Source organism: Homo sapiens, chromosome X, assembly GCF_000001405.40.
Source record: "Homo sapiens chromosome X, GRCh38.p14 Primary Assembly".
NCBI lineage: Eukaryota > Metazoa > Chordata > Mammalia > Primates > Hominidae > Homo > Homo sapiens.
The window spans coordinates 16,724,109-16,743,870 of NC_000023.11; the positions used below are offsets into that span (position 1 = coordinate 16,724,109).

Here is a 19,762-nt window from a genome sequence, read left to right on the forward strand (position 1 = left end):
CGTGATGTATTGCAATGAAAGAGTACAAGAATAAAATCAGGAAAGGAAAAAGGCACATGGGGTGGAAGTCCAGGGGTAAGCAGGCACAGTAGAGTCACACAGGACGTGCTTAATTCCTCTAGCAAGGAGTTGTGACAACACGTGTGAGATGCTGTCTTCCAGGGAAGCTCATTAGAGACTCAGTGCCCAGGACTTTTACTGGGGACTGGTCGTATAGGTATCCTCTGCCTACCACATATCCAAATTCCAGACCCCACAAGGAAAGCGGGAGTTCAGCATAAACCACAATGAGGCATTCTTAGCAGTTTAAGAAATGGTGGGAGCCCTCCCGAAATCTAAGTTCCCGGACACCCAGCCAGTGGCCAACCTTGAAAGCAAGCCTTTCCAAGGACAGCAGTCTCAGGCCTGCCATGTTAATGCTTTTCTGCAGAGTCTCCAAGAAATGTGGGGATGGGAGGGAGGTCCCAGGGTCAGTTCCATGGCTCAACGATATGATCAGGGAACCAATCTCTTCCACGCTTCCTCTCCTTCATCCATAGTGAGTTGGTTTCCATCCTCAGGCTGATCACTTCAGGCTCACAAGACAGCAACTGCAGTAGAAAGGGAGGACGAGGACTCTCCCCATAGCTCCCTTTTTATTAAGAAAGAAAATGTTTCTGGATGCCGACTTGCAGGTGTCCCCTTAAATTTCTTGGGGTGGAGCTGTCACATGGCTTTTCTAAGCTTCACGGGACTCTCAGCAAGTATGTGGCAGAGATCCTGACAGAGGTAGTGCCATTACCTTCTTTGGTGTGGACTTGTCAAGATTCATTCTCTGGGGCTGGCCACATGGGCACGCATCAAAATTGGGGTGGTTTTAACAAGGCAGAAGAGATGGGCTACTGGCTGGGCAGCCAGCAAGATCTGCCCCTATCACATAGGACAAATCATTTTTCCTCTGTGAGCCTCAGCTTCCCTTTTTTTGAACTGGGCAGATTATTCCTTCTCCTTGTCCCAGGAAGGTTATGAGAATAAAACATGGCATAATTAAAATGAAGGTAAAATAACTACTTTAAATGTTAGCTGTCGGCCCCCACCTTCCAGCAGGTCGCTAAGTCGTATTCAGATACATTTGAATTTGACTTCCTTTTCTTTGGCGCTACTTCGTTTCAGACCCTCACTTTATGGACTGAAGTGGACATTGTACTCCTGTTACTTCCTGTTAACTCCTATCTTAGTTTCAGTTTTTTCCTAGACAGTTCATAAAAACTGTCTTTGGCCAGGTGCGGTGGCTTACAGTTGTCATCCCAAAACTTTGGGAGGCCAAGGCGGGTGGGTTGCTTGAGCCCAGGAGTTTGAGACCAGCCTGGACAACATAGTGAGACTCCATCTCTATAAAAAATAAAAATCAAAATAAAAACTGTCTTCAACGTGGTGTCAGCTGATCTCTTTGCAAAATTAATAAATCACTTCTTGTCTTTATGGACTTCTTCCCTGAAAATCTCTTGTCATGCTCTCCATCTCACTCCCAGGCCACTCTAATAACTCTCTGGAGACAGTTCTCCCTCCATGCTGCCACATCTGCTTAATGAATAATCTTGTTCCTCTTTTTGTCTTTGATTCTCTATTTATTTGTTTTGCTTTAGAGATGGACGTTCCTGGAGGGCAAGAACTTGTGCTTTCTCAGATATTCAGTGTGTTCAGTAAACTCCATCCATGGAGTCATTAAAATCTAAGGAATGCAATGATTATGCTAAAATACCAGTTTTTAAATGACAGTTCTCCCTTGGAATAAAAATCATTGTTTGAATTCAAAATATGTTTCTGAGGAAGGGATAAAAGGAATTTATTTCCAAAAGAACCCTCTTCTTTTGGAACTTTAGATTTGTTTCTCTGACTGCAAAGCATGGTTTTGTTCCTGGACCAAACTGAGGGTCAGGCTGCTATTTCTCGTGGCCCAATAACAAGATGCAGGTCAACTGGGAAGGAAGAGAGTTTTTATTTCTGTAAGTGGCTCCAGGGAGAAGGCCTGGAAATTATCACCAGACCAACGCAAAATTAGAAAGTTTTCCAGAGCTTATATACCTTCTAAGCTATACGTCTACGTGTTAAGTGTGCACTCATCTAAAGACATAAGTGATTAACTTCTTTTAATCTATAACTAAGGTCTGAGTCCTGAAGACCTTCCTCTGGAGCCTCAGTAAATTTACTTAATCTAACTGGGTCCAGGTGCTGAGGTGATTACCCTTATCTTGTCTCCTGCTAAATCATGGAGGTTTGGGGAGTTCCTTCAGACCCCCAATCAACTTGTTTGTGGAGGCCTGGGGAGTCTCTTCAGACCCCCCAGTAAAACTTACTTAATCGTGCTTTAAGGTTCAGGAAAGTCCTAGGCAAAACTCTTGGGCTTTTGTTACATCCCAGCCTTTGTATAAGGTCACTGGCTTTTAATATTTAACTTAACCACTCAGTCAGTACTGAAACAGTTGTGATGGAAGCCTATGTTAGTGAGTCCTGGCCTGCCGCAATCCCCACTGTCAATTTGCGCATGATTTCTATCATGCTTGTATATTTATTTATCATGAGAATCGTAGGGAGATGGGGCATCATAATCTTTCTGGCTACTTTTTGCTTAGAGGGGCTCATCATTATGGGGCACTGAATGCAGCACTGAAGTAGAAGAGGTCAACTTGTTCCCGGTAGCACTCTCTGTTTCAGAGGCTTAGAGGCAGCACCTGCTGAAACATAATAGTATGTAACAGCAACACATATAAATAGGTTACTGCTGTTTTCTTCTGAAGTTTAAGTTGTCTAGTCTTCAGTTCACAGGGCTTTAAGAAAGCACAGCTTAGGTTTCAGTGATTTCCAAATAGGAAAAATGGGGAAAAAGGAAAAGGAAAAGGAAAAATTGAAAACATTATTTTGAAGACCTGTGGCCAGAAAAATTAGAATTTAATCCAAACTGTGGAAAAAAATAAAAACTGAAAAACATCAGGCATAGAATTTAACAACAGGTATACTATAGTTTTTGAAACAAAATTTTTCTCTCTCTAGTTTCCTATTTTTATTAGAAGACAAATCATGGTAGGACCAATTTGCTTTATTGTACTTGGCCAGATTATTTGTATAAAGTGCAGCAAGAAAAATCATTTTCTTTTAAAATAAAATTTTTTTATTTAATATATATTTTAAAAATTAAAAAAAAAAAAACAGGCTTTGATGGAACTTTGTTCCATAGAAGGAATCTGAGATAAGACTTTTTTTTTTTTTTTTTTTGAGACAGAGTTTTGCTCTTGTTGCCCAGGCTGGAGTGCAATGGCATGATCTCGGCTCACTGCAACCTCCGCCTCCCGGGTTCAAGTGATTCTTCTGCCTCAGCCTCCCAAGTAGCTGGGATTACAGGCATGCGCCACCATGTGCAGCTAATTTCGTATTTTTAGTAGAGAGGGGGTTTCTCCATGTTGGTCAGGCTGGTCTCAAACTCCTGACCTCAGGTGATCCACCCACCTCGGCCTCCCGAAGTGCTGGGATTACAGAAGTGAGCCACCTTACCTGGTAAGATAAGACCTTTTTAAAGCCAAGCCCAGCCATGGATTTGTACCATGAAATACCTATGACTTGGGTGAATTCCTCTCCTCTTGAGGTCCCAAGATAACTTGGGGTTCCTGGCCTGTCAGAAGGTGACATTCTTTACTTACCACAGATCAGAAACCCTGTACAGGGACTGTACACAAAATATGAGGGCAGTTTTCCAAGGGTTTTCTTGGCTCCCTAAGTCAAGTTTGATTCATTAAAGGAAAACACACCATTCCAGTTAAAGCCTTGGTAAAATAACAAGTTTTTCCAGTTGTGTCCTGTTATAAATGAAAACAGATTCTTATTGAACTTATGCAAATAACTATATTGCCATAATTAAGAATACTCACAAATAGTTTCCAAATTCTGGAGAAAATTGGGTAGAAACAAATATGCTCCACATTTTGTTCATGGGAGTATACTAAATTGTTAAAAGCTGTCAGTAGCTCAGAAGAAAAGTTTCCTTGACTCTGAAAAGTAAAACAAAGGATTAGCAATATTTTAAGCAAAAACTCAAAAAGATCACTCCAGTCTCCTATTCAGTTCATGCAGTTAATTACTGTCCTGCTTGATATTAATGAACATGTTAGCTCTTCAGGAGTCCTGAACATTTTTCCTCTGTTCTGATGTCACAATCTCCAAAGTTATCAGAAACCTGCATTCAAGAGCACTTGTTAGAGCTTTATAGCTGATTATAAAATCAACTTCTAAAGAGGACCAAAACAGCCGGGCACAGTGGCTCATGCCTGTAATCCCAGCACTTTGGGAGGCCAAGGCAGGTGGATCACCTGAGGCCAGGAGTTCAAGACCAGCCTGGCCAACATGGTGAAACGCCATCTCTACAAAAATACAAACAAAATTAGGCATGATGGCGGGTACCTGTAATCCCAGCTACTTGGGAGGCTGAGGCAGGAGAATCACTTGAACCCGGGAGGCGGAGTTTGCAGTGAGCCAAGATCATGCCGTTGCACCCCAGCCTGGGCAACAGAGTGAGACTCCACCTCAAAAAAAAAACTAAATAAAGAGGACCAAAACAAGACAACAATTGTTCATGGATGACAAAAGGTTTTCGGGTAGCCATAAAGACACAGTTGAGGCTGGGCATGGTGGCTCACGCCTGTAATCCTAGCACTTTGGGAGGCTGAGGTGTGTGGATTGCCTGAGCTCAGGAGTTTGTGACCACTCCAGGCAACACAGTGAAAGCCCGTCTCTACTAAAAATACAAAAATTTAGCCAGGCATGGTGGTGCACACCTGTAATCCCAGCTACTCAGGAGGCTGAGGCAGGAGAATTGCTTCAACCCGGGAGGCAGAGGTTGCAGTGAGCCGAGATCACACCACTGTGCTTTAGCCTGGGCAACAGAGCGAGCAGCTATCTCGAAAAAAAAAAAAGAAAAAAAAAAAGACACAATTGACAAAATCTGTTACCTCTGTGGCACACAATAATTTAACATAATTATAATTATTACTGATAACGTACACTGATATATCAGAATTATAGGAGTTTCACATGATTTTGGAACACATACCAATAACATATTTACACATATATGGCCCAAAGAAAGTCAAACCCCATTTTATATTTGGCAATGCTTCCTGTGTGGTTTTTGGTACTAAATAAGCCAAATTTCACCTTTACGTTAGTGTACTATTAATGTTAAACCAAATTCTTATTAAAACCTCATAGACATATTGACACAATTTTAATGTTTGACCATAAGGTAAGATTTTTATAGATCTTTTATAACCCTTTATAATTTTCGTTGAAGAGCAGGTTAGTGCTTTCAAAGAAACCTGTTATGCTTTTATTTTATTGATTTTATCGATTTTTTTTTTTTTTTTTAGAGACAGAGTCTCACTTTGTCACCCAGGCTGGAGTGCAGTGATGTGATCTCGGCTCACTGCAACCTCTGCCTCCTAGGTTCAAGCAATTCTCCTGTCTCAGCCTCCCAAGTAGCTGGGACTACAGACGTGCCACCATGCCCAGCTAATTTTTGTGTTTTTAGTAGAGACGGGGTTTCACAATGTTGGCCAGGCTGGTCTTGAACTCCTGACCTTGTGATCTGCCCACCTTGGCCTCCCAAAGTGCAGGGATTACAGGCATGAGCCACTGCGCCCAGCCTATGTGCTTTTATTTTAATACTCAATTTACAGAAAAACTGGATGATACTCTTTTAACTTTAGCCAGTATGTTTACACACAGAATTTCCTTTACAATCAATCTTCCACAACTTGCTTAAACCTTCATCTTTATTTTATCCAACTTAAAACAATCCTTTAACCTTTTAATCTAGGCAAAAATCCACATTTTCATGCCTCCTTATAATCTTTTTACCAAAAGCATATTTTACTTTCCTTGTAAATATGCTTTTTACCAAAAGCATATTTTACTTTTCCATGTAAAACTTTCTTCAGGCCGGGCACAGTGGCTCACACCTGTAATCCCAGAACTTTGAGAGGCCAAGGTGGGTGGATCATGAGGTCAGGAGTTCGAGACCAGCCTGACCAACATGGTAAAACCCCGTCTCTACTAAAAATACAAAAATTAACTGGGCGTGGTGGCAGGTGCCTATAATCCCAGCTACTCGGGAGGCTGAGGCAGGAGAATCGCTTGAAACCAGAAGGTGGAGGTTGCAGTGAGCCAAGATCGCACCATTGCGCTCCAGCCTGGGCGAAAGAGCGAAACTCTGTCTCAGAAAAAGAAAAAACAAACAAACAAAAATCTGTTTCTTCAGTAGTGTTAAATACATGTTACACTGTTAACTCTTAGCAACCTTTACTTTTGGTGAAAACCTTGGTAAGTTTGGGATTTTATGTACTAGGTGTGGAGCCTAAGATGTAGACAGAAGTGCAGATAAGGTCTGACTTATTCCAGCATCTAACTCCATGTGTCCCAGGCCTTATCTAGCTGTAAAGCAGGCAAGTTGTACAGCTGAGAGTCATAGTGGCATTTTATAAAGCATTTAAGAGACCTAATCACCTTTAAATTGTACAATATTTGTTGCATAAATTCCGTTTCATAAATTCTTTCACAACTTACACAGACAAGCTATGACATACCTTGACTTTCTGACTTGTCCTAAGCATCCCTCTTTTTAAACATCCAGTTACTTTACTTTAGGACAAGAATTTGCCATACAAGGTCCTTTCTTATATAAAATCTCTTTTCTCTAATACCTTTTGCATAGCTAGGGGGCTTGGCTAATTTCACATGTCTCCAGGCCTTTTCTAGAATCTAATGCTACAAAATAAATCAAACAATGTTTAAGTCAAAGAAGCAGTTTATGATGCAAAGCATTTAGCAAACCTAATATTTGACCTGCATAATTTAGACCAAATGCTTACATTTTGAAGATATTTTATTTTACCAGTAATCTTTAAAACTGTCTTTATTTTTATAACTTTCTTTATATCTCTCTTATTTCCTGGTTTCTTTTACCATGTTTTATATATAACCTTTAAATAAGCTTTGAGTTAGACAAAAATTAGTTACCCTTTAAAAAGGACACAATGTTTAGAAAGAATATTTTCCTACAATATATTTTTATTGGAAAATACCCAAATAATGAAATATCTGTTATTTAATATAACTTTAGATTCAAAATTATGACATTTGTTATGAGTATCCCATTACATTTATCTAATTATTTATTTTAATCATTTACCTAGATTATTTATGAAAACTGCAGTAGTCATCATTGAAAGTTATGAGACCACCATTGCAAAATTATAGCTGAGACAGTGAAAGTGATCTGCCGTAACTGACTCCATCTTGCTTCTAACCTCCAAGCTATTCTTGTTCATTAACTTAGTTTATAGTTTAGCTTTGAAACAAAGATGATAACCGTCCTTTCCCAGAACAAACTTCCTTTATGTCTGTGGACTAGACTGCCTAAGGCCACAAGATCAGAGGTTAGGGTATTTTACTAAATAATTCAAGATGTAGCTATCTTCATTAAACCAATATCAGTGTTTTATTTATTAAAAATTACACAAGCAGCCGGGCACAGTGGCTCACACCTGTAATCCCAGCACTTTGGGAGGCTGAGGTGGGCGGAACATCTGAGGTCAGGAGTTCTAGACTAGCCTGGCCAACATGGTGAAACCATGTCTCCACTAAAAATATAAAAATTAGCTGGGCATGGTGGCAGACACCTGTAATCCCAGCCACTCCAGAGGCTGAGGCAGGAAAATCACTTGAACTCAGGAGGCGGAGGTTGCAGTGAGCCAAGATTGTGCCATTGCACTCCAGCCTGGGCAACAAGAGCAAAACTCTGTCTCAAAAAAAAAAAAATTACACAGCAAAGTTCACTCTGTTTTGGGCTGAGTTATCGTTTTGTAGCCTCTATGCCAAATTTTGATACCTTATAGTATTTGGCAGAGATAAGTATGAAATTGCTTGATCAATAAATGTAAACAAAAATATATGCTGGCAACTCCGAAGACATTTCTAATATTACTTTACCAGTAATTTTTAAAGCTAGCTTATTTATTAAAGATTTTACTTAAGTCACATAAACTTGAAAAAGCATTTGACTAGTCTTTCTTTTTTTCTGTTAAAGTATTTAAGCACTTCTATTTTTCTGTGAGCCAACTAATTAGAACTCTTTCGTATATTTTCAGTAGTGAAATAGTTTGGTCATGCTTTAAGGTTCAGGAAAGGCCTAGGCAAAAAACTCTTGAGCTTTTGTTACATTCCAGCCTTTGCATAAGGTCACTGGCTTTTTTTTTTTTTTTTTTTGAGACGGAGTCTCGCTCTGTCACCCAGGCGCCCAGCTAATGTTTTGTATTTTTAGTAGAGACGGGGTTTCACCATGTTAGCCAGGATGGTCTCGATCTCCTGACCTCGTGATCTGCCCGCCTCGGCCTCCCAAAGTGCTGGGATTACAGGCGTGAGCCACCGCGCCCAGCCCGGTCACTGGCTTTTAATATTTAACTTAACCACTCAGTCAGTACTGAAACAGTTGTGATGAAGGCCTATATTAGTGAGACCTGGCCTGCAACAGTTTTATAAACTAGTGTGGCTGTCTACCCATTTTATCATACCACTCTGTACAAGTAGAGTAGTCATAACTAAAGAGAAATGAGTGATTTCACTCAATCTTAGCATTTGTTCTGTCACTCCCCATTCATCCATTCAACAAGTACGTACTGGTCACTGGTCATCCGCTGGGGATACAGTGGGGTATCAGACAGCCCAGGTCCCTGCACTCATGGGGCTCAGCATGGGCTTTCAGTCTGGCTGAGAAGACATTCACCAAGTAATCGGTAGAGTGTTTTGAAGATTGTTGATCAGGCAACAGTCTTCAAAACACAGGATGTGCGGAGGGAACACATCTCAGGACATCCATCGTAGTCAAGGGAATATTTCCTAAGGAGAAGGGATATTTAAGTGGAGACCCACAGCATATGGAGAGTTAGCCAGATAAAGAGAGAGCAGACAAAAATGTTTCAAACCAAGGAGGCCTCCTTGGAGGTAGTGAAGAATTTCCATGTGATCATATGACTGTAGACTGGGAAGAAGGAGAAAGATGAGAACTAGACCAGAGATAAGTAGCAAGTAGCTTCCTGTGGTATGTCCTAGGGGTGTTTTGTTGGGGTTGACAGATAAACACTACCAGACACAATGGGAGGAAGTAGATTTTTAAATGGGAAGCTGGTGAAAGGATCATTCAGATGGAGTGATAATATTACTGGCTCCCAGACACCTATACAGTCTGCTGGTTTCCTGGAAGTAATACCACCCACAGAATGAGGATGGAATCTGTTGTGCAGAGCTCTCTTTGCCATTCTTATGGGACCTTCTCCACCTGCCTGCCCCTTCAACAGGTGTAAGTAAGAGAGGCAAGACCGCCCTAATGTGCCAGCTATTTCTCATGAGAGGAGGATGTCAATTGCCTGGGAGCATCCCCCAGCAGGTCCAGCTTCAAGACCTGCCTCAAGTCTCTTTCAGCAGCCTGGATTCTGTAGGATGTGGACTTTGAAATGATATTTGTCTACAAATTAGCCCTTTTTTTTTTTTTTTAGACGGAGTCTCGCTCTGTTGCCCAGGCTAGAGTGTAGTGGCGCAATCTCGGCTCACTGCAGTCTCTGCCTCCCGGGTTCAAGCAATTCTGCTGCCTCAGCCTCCTGAGTAGCTGGGATTACAGGCGCACGCCACCATGCCCAGCTAAGTTTTTTGTATTTTTAGTAGAGACGGGGTTTCACCATGTTGGTCAGACTGGTCTCGAACTCCTGATCTGCCCGCCTCGGCCTCCCAAAGTGCTGGGATTACAACAAATGAGCCCTTATAGTGCAATAGAACCTTGACACATGTCTTTTCACATCTTCCAGAAAGCTAATTCTGTGGTTTTGTTTTGTAAAAACTGGAAGTTTTATGGGTTCCACTTTTAATCTTGTTCTACTTATTTGCTCATTATTATTAAGAATGATTTCTAGTCCAGGCTTGGTGGCTCACGCCTGTAATCCCAGCACTTTGGGAGGCCGAAGTGGGTGGATCACCTGAGGTCAGGAGTTTGAGACCAGCCTGGCCAACATGGTGAAATCCCATCTCTACTAAAAATATAAAAATTAGCCGGGTGTGGTGGCGGGCGCCTGTAATCCCAGCTACTTGCAGGGCTGAGGCATGAGAATCACTTAAACCTGGGAGGTGGAGGTTGCAGTGAACTGAGATCTGAGATCACGCCACTGCACTCCAGCCTGGGTGACAGAGTGAGACTTCATCTCAAAAAAAAAAAAAAAAAGATTTCTGTTTCTACTAGGGCTTGCCAAGATTTCTATTTCTTATTTAAAATTCCCCCAGATTTATCATGGGACATGTTAATTTGAGAAAGGAGGGGCATTTTTTCTTTGAACAGGAGGGAAGGAGGAGAAAATAAAGATGGCATACATGAGATCTAGAAAGGAAGAAAAGTATAAAGGAGCCTTGTTCTTCCTGGCAAAGTAGGAGGGTAGATTATTTACTGAGATAAATTAGAACCAGAGACTTGAGCAAGAAAATTTTGAAGCAGCTACTGGGAAGAGTATACTAAGGGTCTTTGAAAGAGATGAATGAGGCCAGGCCCGGTGGCTCACGCCTGTAATCCCAGCACTTTGGGAGGCTGAGGCAGGCAGATCATTCGAGGCCAGAAGTTCGAGACCAATCTGACCAACATGGTGAAACTCTGTCTCTACTAAAAATACCAAAAAAATTAGCCGGGCATGGTGGCAGGCGTCTGTAGTCCCAGGTACTCGAGAGGCTGAGGCAGAAGAATCGCTTGATCATAGGAGGCAGAGCTTGCAGTGAGCTGAGATCACGCCACTGCACTCCAGCCTGGGTGACAGGGCGAGACTGTCTCAAAAAAAAAAAAAAAAAAAAAAAAAACAAAAAAAGAGATGAATGAAAGGCCCAGTATGATTGGCCAGTCCACCAAGAAAGTGGTGCTTTTCATCACTGTCAGTGCTTCTCATTACTTGTTTCAGGTCCTTATGAACAAGGAACATGCCCTAATGCTTTAGATTCTCATAAGATCTCTTTAAGGGAAAAATCTCAAACATAATAACCACAGATTCTTTTTATTCTTTACAGACTATTTATTTAACTTTGCATCTGCTGCCACAAAAAAGATAACTGAATCAGTTGCTGAAACAGCACAAACAATAAAGAAATCCGTAGAAGAAGGAAAAATAGATGGCATCATTGACAAGGTATATTCAATTATCTTTTGGAAGTAGAAATGTATGAAATTCATTGTTTCCTCTTGATGGTTTCTTCTTCTTATGAACATTTTTTAACCTAAGTAGAATATCATATTCTGATAAAAATGTTAATTGTTGAGATTTTTGGTTTTTTCCTCTCTTTGAATAACAAGTAAGTATCATTAAATTACAGTACTTGATTTAAATAGCTGTTTTTATTTTAATATATTACAATCAATACATTGATACTTGGGGGTTATACTAAACTTTTCATGTTGGTTGTTTGTTTGTTTGTTTGTTTGTTTTGAGATGGAGTCTCATTCTGTCACCCAGGCTGGAGTGTGGTGGTGTGATCTCAGCTTACTGCAACCTCTGCCTCCTGGGTTTATGCAACTCTCCTGCCTCAACCTCCCAAGTAGCTGGGATTACAGGCATGCGCTACCACACCCAGCTAATTTTTGTATTTTTAGTATAGACGGGGTTTCACCATGTTGGCCAAGCTGGTCTCGAACTCCTGGCCTCAAGTGATCCACCCGCCTTGCCCTCCCAAAGTGCTGGGATTACAGGCATGAGCCACCACGCCTGGCCAACTTTTCATGTTGTGAGTTTAACTTTATAACTGTTTGAGGATATATTTATGCCTTTGCATCATGCGACTAAGGTCCTAGCCCATTAGGAACAACCCTTTTAAGACTCTAAGGAGTGAGTTTGTTTTTTGCAGTGGGCCTATGGCATTTCATTTATGTTGGTAGATATTTGAACTAAGGAAGTCATCAATTAAACCTTAGATACATTGCTATTTAATTTGACTATGTATTTTTTTTAACAGACAATTATAGGAGATTTTCAGAAGGAACAGAAAAAATTTGTTGAAGAGCAACATACAAAGAAGTCAGGTATGGTATAGGTTTGTCTTAATTAACCTGCCAGGTTTTATTGAGCACCTGTTATGTGCTAGATACCACACTGAGGGTCTGAGAACACAAAAATGCATATGCAATGGCCCCATCCTTTGGGTAGCACAAAGACTAGTGAGGGAGACAAACCCATAAACTTCCATGATTTAAAGGAAGGGACTAGATTGTTTCTGGGTGAGGGCTGCCAGTGCTGGCCCCACTGGGGAGCTGGCTGTGAAAGGGGCAAGTAAGCTTTCAGTTCTGACTTTCTCTTTTCTTTTCCCCCACCGAGATGGAGTCTTGCTCTGTCACCCAGGCTGGAGTGCAATGGCGTGATCTCAGCTCACTGCAACCTCTGCCTCCCAGATTCAAGCAATTCTCCTGCCTCAGCCTCCCGAGTAGCTGGGATTACAGGCACGAGCCACCACACCCAGCTATTTTTGTGTGTGTGTATTTTTAGTAGAAACGGGGTTTTACCATGTTGGCAGGCTGGTCTCGAACTCCTGACCTCGTGATCCGCCCGCCTTAGCCTCCCAAAGTGCTGGGATTATAGGCATGAGCCACTGCACCTGGCCTCAGTTCTGACTTTCTACCACATGCCCAGCACAGAGCACAGTATGCACATGACCGGCATTTAGCAAGTGGTGGCTCCGTTCCTGCTGTCTTCAGGAGAAAAAATGGAAGAGCTTCCGAGGGAGGCGAGTGACCGCACCTGCAGTGACAGAGGGCCGTAAAGAGTCTCGGGTGTTTGGAGAACATACTCAATACATTACTGCTGACACATGCCTCTGAAGTTATAAGGCCTCAGCATGCCTACTCTTACCATTTTGTAGCACCCAAACACAAAACCAGCCTCGTGTCTTTAGATTTGGCAAAAGTAGTATAACTGTAATCCCAACACTTTGGCAGGCCAAGGCGCGAGGATCACTTGAGCCTGAACTTCGAGACCAGCCTGGGCAACATAGTGAGACCCTATCTCTACAAAAAAATAAAAAGAAATTAGCCAGATGGGTGTGGTGGTGCACACCTGTAGTCCCAGCTACTTGGGAGGTTGAGACAGGAGGATCACTTGAGCTTGGGAGTTTGAGGCTGTAGTGAGCTATAATCATGCCAGTGTACTCCAGCCTGGACTACAGAGTGAGACCCTGTCTCAAAAAAAAAGTAGTAGAAAACAATTCAGTTCGAGTTGTGCCACAGTTAATCCCATGGTGAATTTCCATCAGGCATTCTTGCACCTAGGTAAACTCAAAAGCATGAGCAACTCTTTTAGACAAGTGAGGTATACAAGTTAGCATCACTTAGTGATTATTTGGAAGCAGCAAAAGTGATCCTGGCTTGGGGACTTGCTGTAGGAGCTGATGCCTCTGAGATACGAACTGTGAGGGCGTGGGGGTGGAAGGTTTGGAGGCAACTTCAGTTTTGAAGTGAGTTAGACATCCCGGAGATAGGAACATGTAGAAAGACAGGAAAGAGAACACAAGTGCTTTATCTGGGGAAAATTTCCTTCTTTTTTTGCATCAGCCACGTTTCAGGTCCTCGATAACTACATATGGCTAATGGCTTCCGCACTGGACAATGCAGATATAGAACATTTTTGTCATTGCAGAAAGTTCGTTTGCTCAGTGTGGCTCTGAATTAAATAAGCAGGCTCCTGCAGCAGTTTATTCCTGTTTGAAGCATGAAGCAGAATTCAATCTAGTGATATAGATTATTATCAAGTCACATAAAAACCATGAGAGTAGATGAGCTCCTCTATGGAAAGTGTGTCAAGCATGAAGGGAGATGAGCAGAAGCTCCACAGTGTTTAGGGAGGGGAAGAGGGGAAGGAATTGACATCACTGAGTGCCTGCTGAGCAGCAGGCATTTTATATATAACATCTCATTTCAAGACGCAGTCAGGGCCAGGCGTGGTAGCTTCATGCCTGTAATCCGAGCACTTTGGGAGGCTGAGGTAGGCAGATCACTTGAGGCCAGGAGTTTGAGACCAGCCTGGCCAACATGGCGAAACCCCATCTCTACTAAAAATGCAAAAATTAGCCAGGCTTGGTGGCACACACCTGTAATCCCAGCTGTCTGGGTGGCTGAGGCGCAAGAATTGCTTGAACCTGGGAGGTGGAGGTTGCAGTGAACCGCGATTGTGCCGCTACACTCCAGCCTGGGTGACAGAGCGAGACTCTGTCTCAATAAATAAATAATAAAGATGCAGTCAGCAAGGGTAAGTAATTTGCGGAAGGTCACTCAGCTGGTAAGTGATGAAACTGAAATTTGCCTTCAAAACCAAATACAAAAATTAGCTGGGCCTAGTGGCATGCGCCTGTAATCCCAGCTCCTCGGGAGGCTGAGGCAGGAGAATCACTTGAACCTGGGAGGCAGAGGTTACAGCGAGCCAAGATCATACCACTGCACTCCAGCCTGGGCAACAGAGCAAGACTCCATCTCAAAAAAAGAAAATAAAAACAGTGCCCGTTTACCCAAGAGAGTGGACAACTAGGAGAGAGAAGTAGCAGAAGCCCAGAGAGGGGAGAGTTTCCAGGAGAGCAGTCAGCCATGGGAGGCAGGGCCAAGAGGTCCACTTACAATGACCATGAGAAGGGCACCTTGGAAATGTGTTCCATGCATTTCTTCACTTCATAATCACAGTAACTCTATAAAGTACTTACTGTTACCTCCGTTTTCCAGATAAGGAAACTGGCCTAGAGAGAAGAGAACTAAGAAGTGTCCTTGGGGTTGGAGAACCAAGAGGTTTTGGTCACTCTAAAAAGAATAATTTCAGGAACTCGGGGTGGGGAGCATCTCCTCATACAAGTATCTTAGGAGGGCCTCATTATCTGAGCATAAATAGCACCAGGAGAGACTACCCAAGGTGAAGAGACTTGGAATGGAGACTAAAGTGTGTGAGAAAAAATGTTTTGGGGGCTTTACCCTAATTTTTTCTTTAAAATGTGCAAATATGTTTAGATTATCTTATCATTAATAGAATTTGGATTATAATTGCCACCATTTGCTGACTTGGGATAAGCCAAAGAATGAAGCGTGTGCTCATCTGCCTATCCATCCCTGTGTCCATCCACACATGCATGTAACTTTTCTCTCAGTGGGCTCGTGATATGATATGTCTTCCCTCTGACTCAGAGCATAATAGTAAAGGGACTATTTCTGCCAAAATATTCCAGGACAGCAAAGCATTTGCTCTCCAAGGGCCTGCCTTAATTGCCCCTTTGGTTTTCAAATCACTCTCTCTCTCTTTTTTTTTTTTTTTTTTTTGAAACGGAGTCTGTCTGTTGCCCAGGCTGGAGTGCAGTGGCACCTTCTCAGCTCACTGCAACCTCTGCCCCCCGGGTTCAAGCAATTCTCCTGTTTCGGCCTCCCGAGTAGCTGGGACCAAATCATTCTCTTTTAAAGCACTTGCTGGGTCACCAGCCTTGTGTTTCCTTCAGGCATAGGTGCCCTAACTGCCAGGTCCTCCTTATTGTTTGCTTTGTGGTGATGCAGGCAGCTATCCCATGTCACTTTACTTTGACTTTGTGAAGCACCGTGTGTTTTGCAAGATTTGCCTTTTCACTTTGTGTTGCAAGACCAGTAGGGCTAGAATCTAGTGTTAAGGCAGCAGGAGTGATTCAGTGGCTTATGAATTAGTCCACATTTTTGTGACTTCTGCTTCCCATCCTAATCTTGCCGCTGTGGGTTGCTGAATGAGGCTATTAAGGGCCCCCTGCCTGTGTGTCTTCTGTGCCGATCACGCAGATCTGCAGCCTTCACTCTGCTCTCTAGCTGCTCCGTGCTGCTTACATGGGAGAGATCTTCAGACGAGCTTGCCATTGTTTTTGTTTCCACTCTAAACACCCCCACCCCCATCCACCACTGACCTCCTCTTCCTAGTCCAAGATTGGGCTCCTAGGTCACCAGAAAATCTTGTAGTTCTCACCTCTCCAGAGGGTTGTCATTTGTCACCTGGCACGGCACTTACAGTGCTGGATTCTAATCACCTCTATCTTGTGAGCCCCAGAAAAACATGGGCTAGATCTTGGCATTCCCAGCATTTAGCTTCTAACGGCTTATTGAGGATTTGATTCCAGCCCTATTGTTTACTGCCTCCAACTTGTGCATTTCTTTTTTTTTTTTTTTTTAGCTCCTGAAAACCCTCTTCTTATTCCTAATCACCTGTCTTACAACATCACCTTTTATCATGAATCAAGTACAGTAACTTTCTTTTTTTTTCCTCCAGAAATATACTTACCCATTTTTCTTTCATTTTTTTAAGTAACTTTCTAAAAATTTTTCTATTTGGAAAAAATTTTAATTTACAGAAGAGTCGCAAGAATAAAAATAGTACAGAGAACACCCATATACCAGTACCTAAATTGCTCTAGCTTTATTCTGTTTGCCTTATTCACGCCCTCTCTCCAGCTCTTGCTGTGTGTGTGCCCTTTTTTTCCTTGTGTGTACACAAATGTTCAGTACACATTTCCTAAGAATTAGGGATATTCTCTTTCATAATCATAGTATAGTTAACGGCATTAGGAAATTTCACCTTGATGCAATACTTTACTGTTCATCAGTTAATTTTGTTAGTTGACCCAGTAATGTCCTTTATAACATTTGTCCCCCTCGTATAGGATCCAGTTGAGGATAAGGTATTGTATTCTTTGTCATGTCTCTCAGCCTTCTTTAATCAGGAACATTCCAACATCCTTTCTTTGTCTTTTATGATATTAATATTTTTGAAGAATACTTCTCTTCCTTTTTTTTAATAGATTCTTTCTCATTCAGGCTTTATCTGATATTTCCTCATAACTAGACTCAGATTGTCCATTTTTAGCCAGCATACTACATAGGTGATGATGTCCTTCTCAAGATACCACATCTGGAAGGCCATGATGTTCATCTCTCCCTCATTGTTGATTTTGATCACCTGATTAAGGAGTTGTCCAGTTTCTCCACTGTATCATTTAAGTAGAGTTTTTTGTTTTTTGTTTTTTTTCTGAGACAGGGTCTCAACTCTGTCACCCAGGCTGAAATGCAATGGCGGAATCACAGCTCACTACAGCCTTGACTCCTGGGTTCAGGTGATCCTCCCGCCTCAGCCTCCCAAGTAGCTGGGACTACAGGCACGCACAACGTCTGGCTAACTTTTGTATTTTTTTGTAGAGAGAGGGTTTTGTCATGTGGCCCAAGCTGGTCTGCAACTCCTGGGCTCAAGCAATCCACCCACCTCGGCCTCCCAAAGTGCTGGGATTACAGGTGTGAGCCACCATGCCTGGCCTCAAGTAGAGTTTTTTTTTTTTTTACCAAATGCATATGTGCATATAACTCATAATAATAAGTCTGGTTATTACGGTTAATGTTCATATTTGGAACTTATTGGTAAATTGCTACTTTTAGTGGTCATGCAGAAACTTTCATGCTTTGAAACCATAGACTGCAGTGTAACCATCATGACCTATTTTTTTCTCTTTTCTTCTTTGCCATTAAAAACTGTATAGAAGCAGCTGTGCCCCCATGGGTTGACACTAACGATGAAGAAACAATTCAACAACAAATTTTGGCCTTATCAGCTGTAAGTATCTTGTGGTACCCCAGATAGAACATACTTTCTTCTGTCATGATATATCTCTGTTGATGTGACTTTAGTAGAATTTATTTTTCTATACAGTTTTTAAAATATTTTGAGATGTTAGGAATGTACACATTAACACATGATGTGTACATTAACAAAATGTACACATAAAATTTATTTTTTATTTTTTTTTTGAGATGGAGTCTTGCTCTGTCACCCAGGCTGGAGTGTAGTGGTGCAATTTTGGCTCACTGCAACCTCCACCACCCGGGTTCAAATGATTCTCCTGCCTCAGCCTCCTGAATAGCTGGGACTACAGGCATGCGCCACCATGCCCAGCTAATTTTTGTGTGGTTTTTTTTTTTTTTTTTTTTTTTTTTGAGACAAAGTCTCGCTCTGTCACCCAGCCTGGAGCGCAGTGGCACGATCTCGGCTCACTGCAACCTTCTCCTCCCAGGTTCAAGCGATTCTCTTGCCTCAGCCTCCCAAGTAGCTGGTATTACAGGTGCCCGCCACCACGCCCTGCTAATTTTTGTATTTTGAGTAGAGACGGGGTTTCACCATGTTGGCCAGACTGGTCTCGAACTCCTGATCTCGTGATCCACCCTCACCTCAGCCTCCCAAAGTGCTGGGATTATAGGCGTGAGCTACCACACTCAGCCTAATTTTTGTGTTTTCAGTAGAGACAGGGTTTCACCATGTTGGCCAGGCTGGTCTCGAGCTCCTGACCTCAAGCAGTCCATCTGCCTTGGCCTCCCAAAGTGCTGGGATTACAGGTGTGAGCCACCATGCGCTGCCAAAATTTTTAATTTAATTTGTTTTGTTTTGTTTTGTTTTTGTTTTAAGAGACACAGTCTCAATTGGTCATCCAGGATAGAGTACAGTGGCATAATTATGGCTCACTGCAGCCTTGAACTGGGCTCAAGTGATCCTCCGGCCTTAGCCTTCCAAGTATCTGGGACGATAGGCGTAAGCCACCATGCCCAGCTAATTTTTAAAATTGTTTTTAGAGATGGGTTCTCACTATGTTTCCCAGGCTGGTCTCGAACTCCTGGCCTCAAGCGATCCTCTTGCCCAACTTCCCAAAGTGCTGGATTATAGCCATGAGCGACTACACCCTGTCCGCTTCTATTTTTTTTTTTTTTTTTTTTTTTTGAGAGTCTCACTGCACTCCTGCTGGTCAACATAGCAAGACTGTCTCAAAATAAAGAAAGAATATAATATTTCCCCAGTCTATGATAAATTGTTATGTAGTAGGCCAGGTGCAGTGGCTCACACCTGTAATCCCAGCACTTTGGGAGGCCAAGGTGGGTGGATCACTTGAGGTCAGGAGTTCGAGACCAGCCTGGCCAACATGGCGAAACCCCATCTCTAGTAAAAATACAAAAATTAGCCAGGCGTGCTAGCACACACCTGTAATCCCAGCTACTCGGGAGGCTGAGGCAGGAGAATTGCTTGAACCCAGGGGGCAGAGGTTGCAGTGAGCTGAGATTGCACCACTGCATTATAGCCTGGGCGACAGAGCAAGACTCCATCTCAAAACAAAAATAAAATTAAAAAAAAAGAGTGGGCGCATTGGCTCACCCCTGTAATCCCAGCACTTTGGGAAGCCGAGGCAGGTGGATCACGAGGTCAGGAGTTTGAGACCAGCCTGGCCAAGATAGTGAAACCCCATCTCTACTAAAAATACAAAAATTAGCCAGGCGCAGTGGCGGGTGCCTATAATCCCAGCTACTCGGGAGACTGAGGCAGGAGAATTGCTTGAATCCAGGAGGTGGAGGTTGCAGTGAGCCGAGATTGCACCACTGCACTCTAGCCTGGGTGACAACCCGTCTCAAAAAAAAAAAAAAATTGTTATCTATTAATCGCATTTTGTGGAATACCCTGTGTTTTTTTCTTTTTTTATCAAAGGACAAGAGGAATTTCCTTCGTGACCCTCCGGCTGGCGTGCAATTTAATTTCGACTTTGATCAGATGTACCCCGTGGCCCTGGTCATGCTCCAGGAGGATGAGCTGCTAAGCAAGATGAGATTTGCCCTCGTTCCTAAACTGTAAGCAGAGTGTTCTCCAGCGTTTCCTCA

General features: G+C 42.5%; 1 protein-coding gene across 2 annotated transcripts in view, besides 1 other annotated feature; it reads left to right on the forward strand.

Moving 5' to 3' along the window:
- The window catches only part of SYAP1 (synapse associated protein 1), a 45,729-nt gene that overhangs the window by 4,497 nt on the left and 21,470 nt on the right, over nt 1–19,762 (forward strand). Inside the window, exons 2-5 of one of the 2 annotated variants that reach the window (NR_033181.2) lie at nt 11,157–11,237; nt 12,058–12,124; nt 17,608–17,681; nt 19,593–19,732. Coding sequence is in view for 1 of the 2 variants with exons in the window: in NM_032796.4 (NP_116185.2) it covers nt 11,119–11,237; nt 12,058–12,124; nt 17,608–17,681; nt 19,593–19,732 (400 nt within the window). In the remaining variant the exon portion in view is untranslated. Of the gene's footprint in view, nt 1–11,118; nt 11,238–12,057; nt 12,125–17,607; nt 17,682–19,592; nt 19,733–19,762 lie in introns of both variants that reach the window. The other variant, NM_032796.4, reaches the window with a different exon arrangement.
- Nucleotides 8,978–9,272: a silencer, noted in NCBI's record as "tiled region #4999; HepG2 Repressive non-DNase unmatched - State 7:EnhWF". NCBI's record gives its function as "represses a minimal TATA promoter and a strong SV40 promoter by Sharpr-MPRA in HepG2 cells {active_cell/tissue: HepG2}" and the evidence as "EXISTENCE:reporter gene assay evidence [ECO:0000049][PMID:27701403]".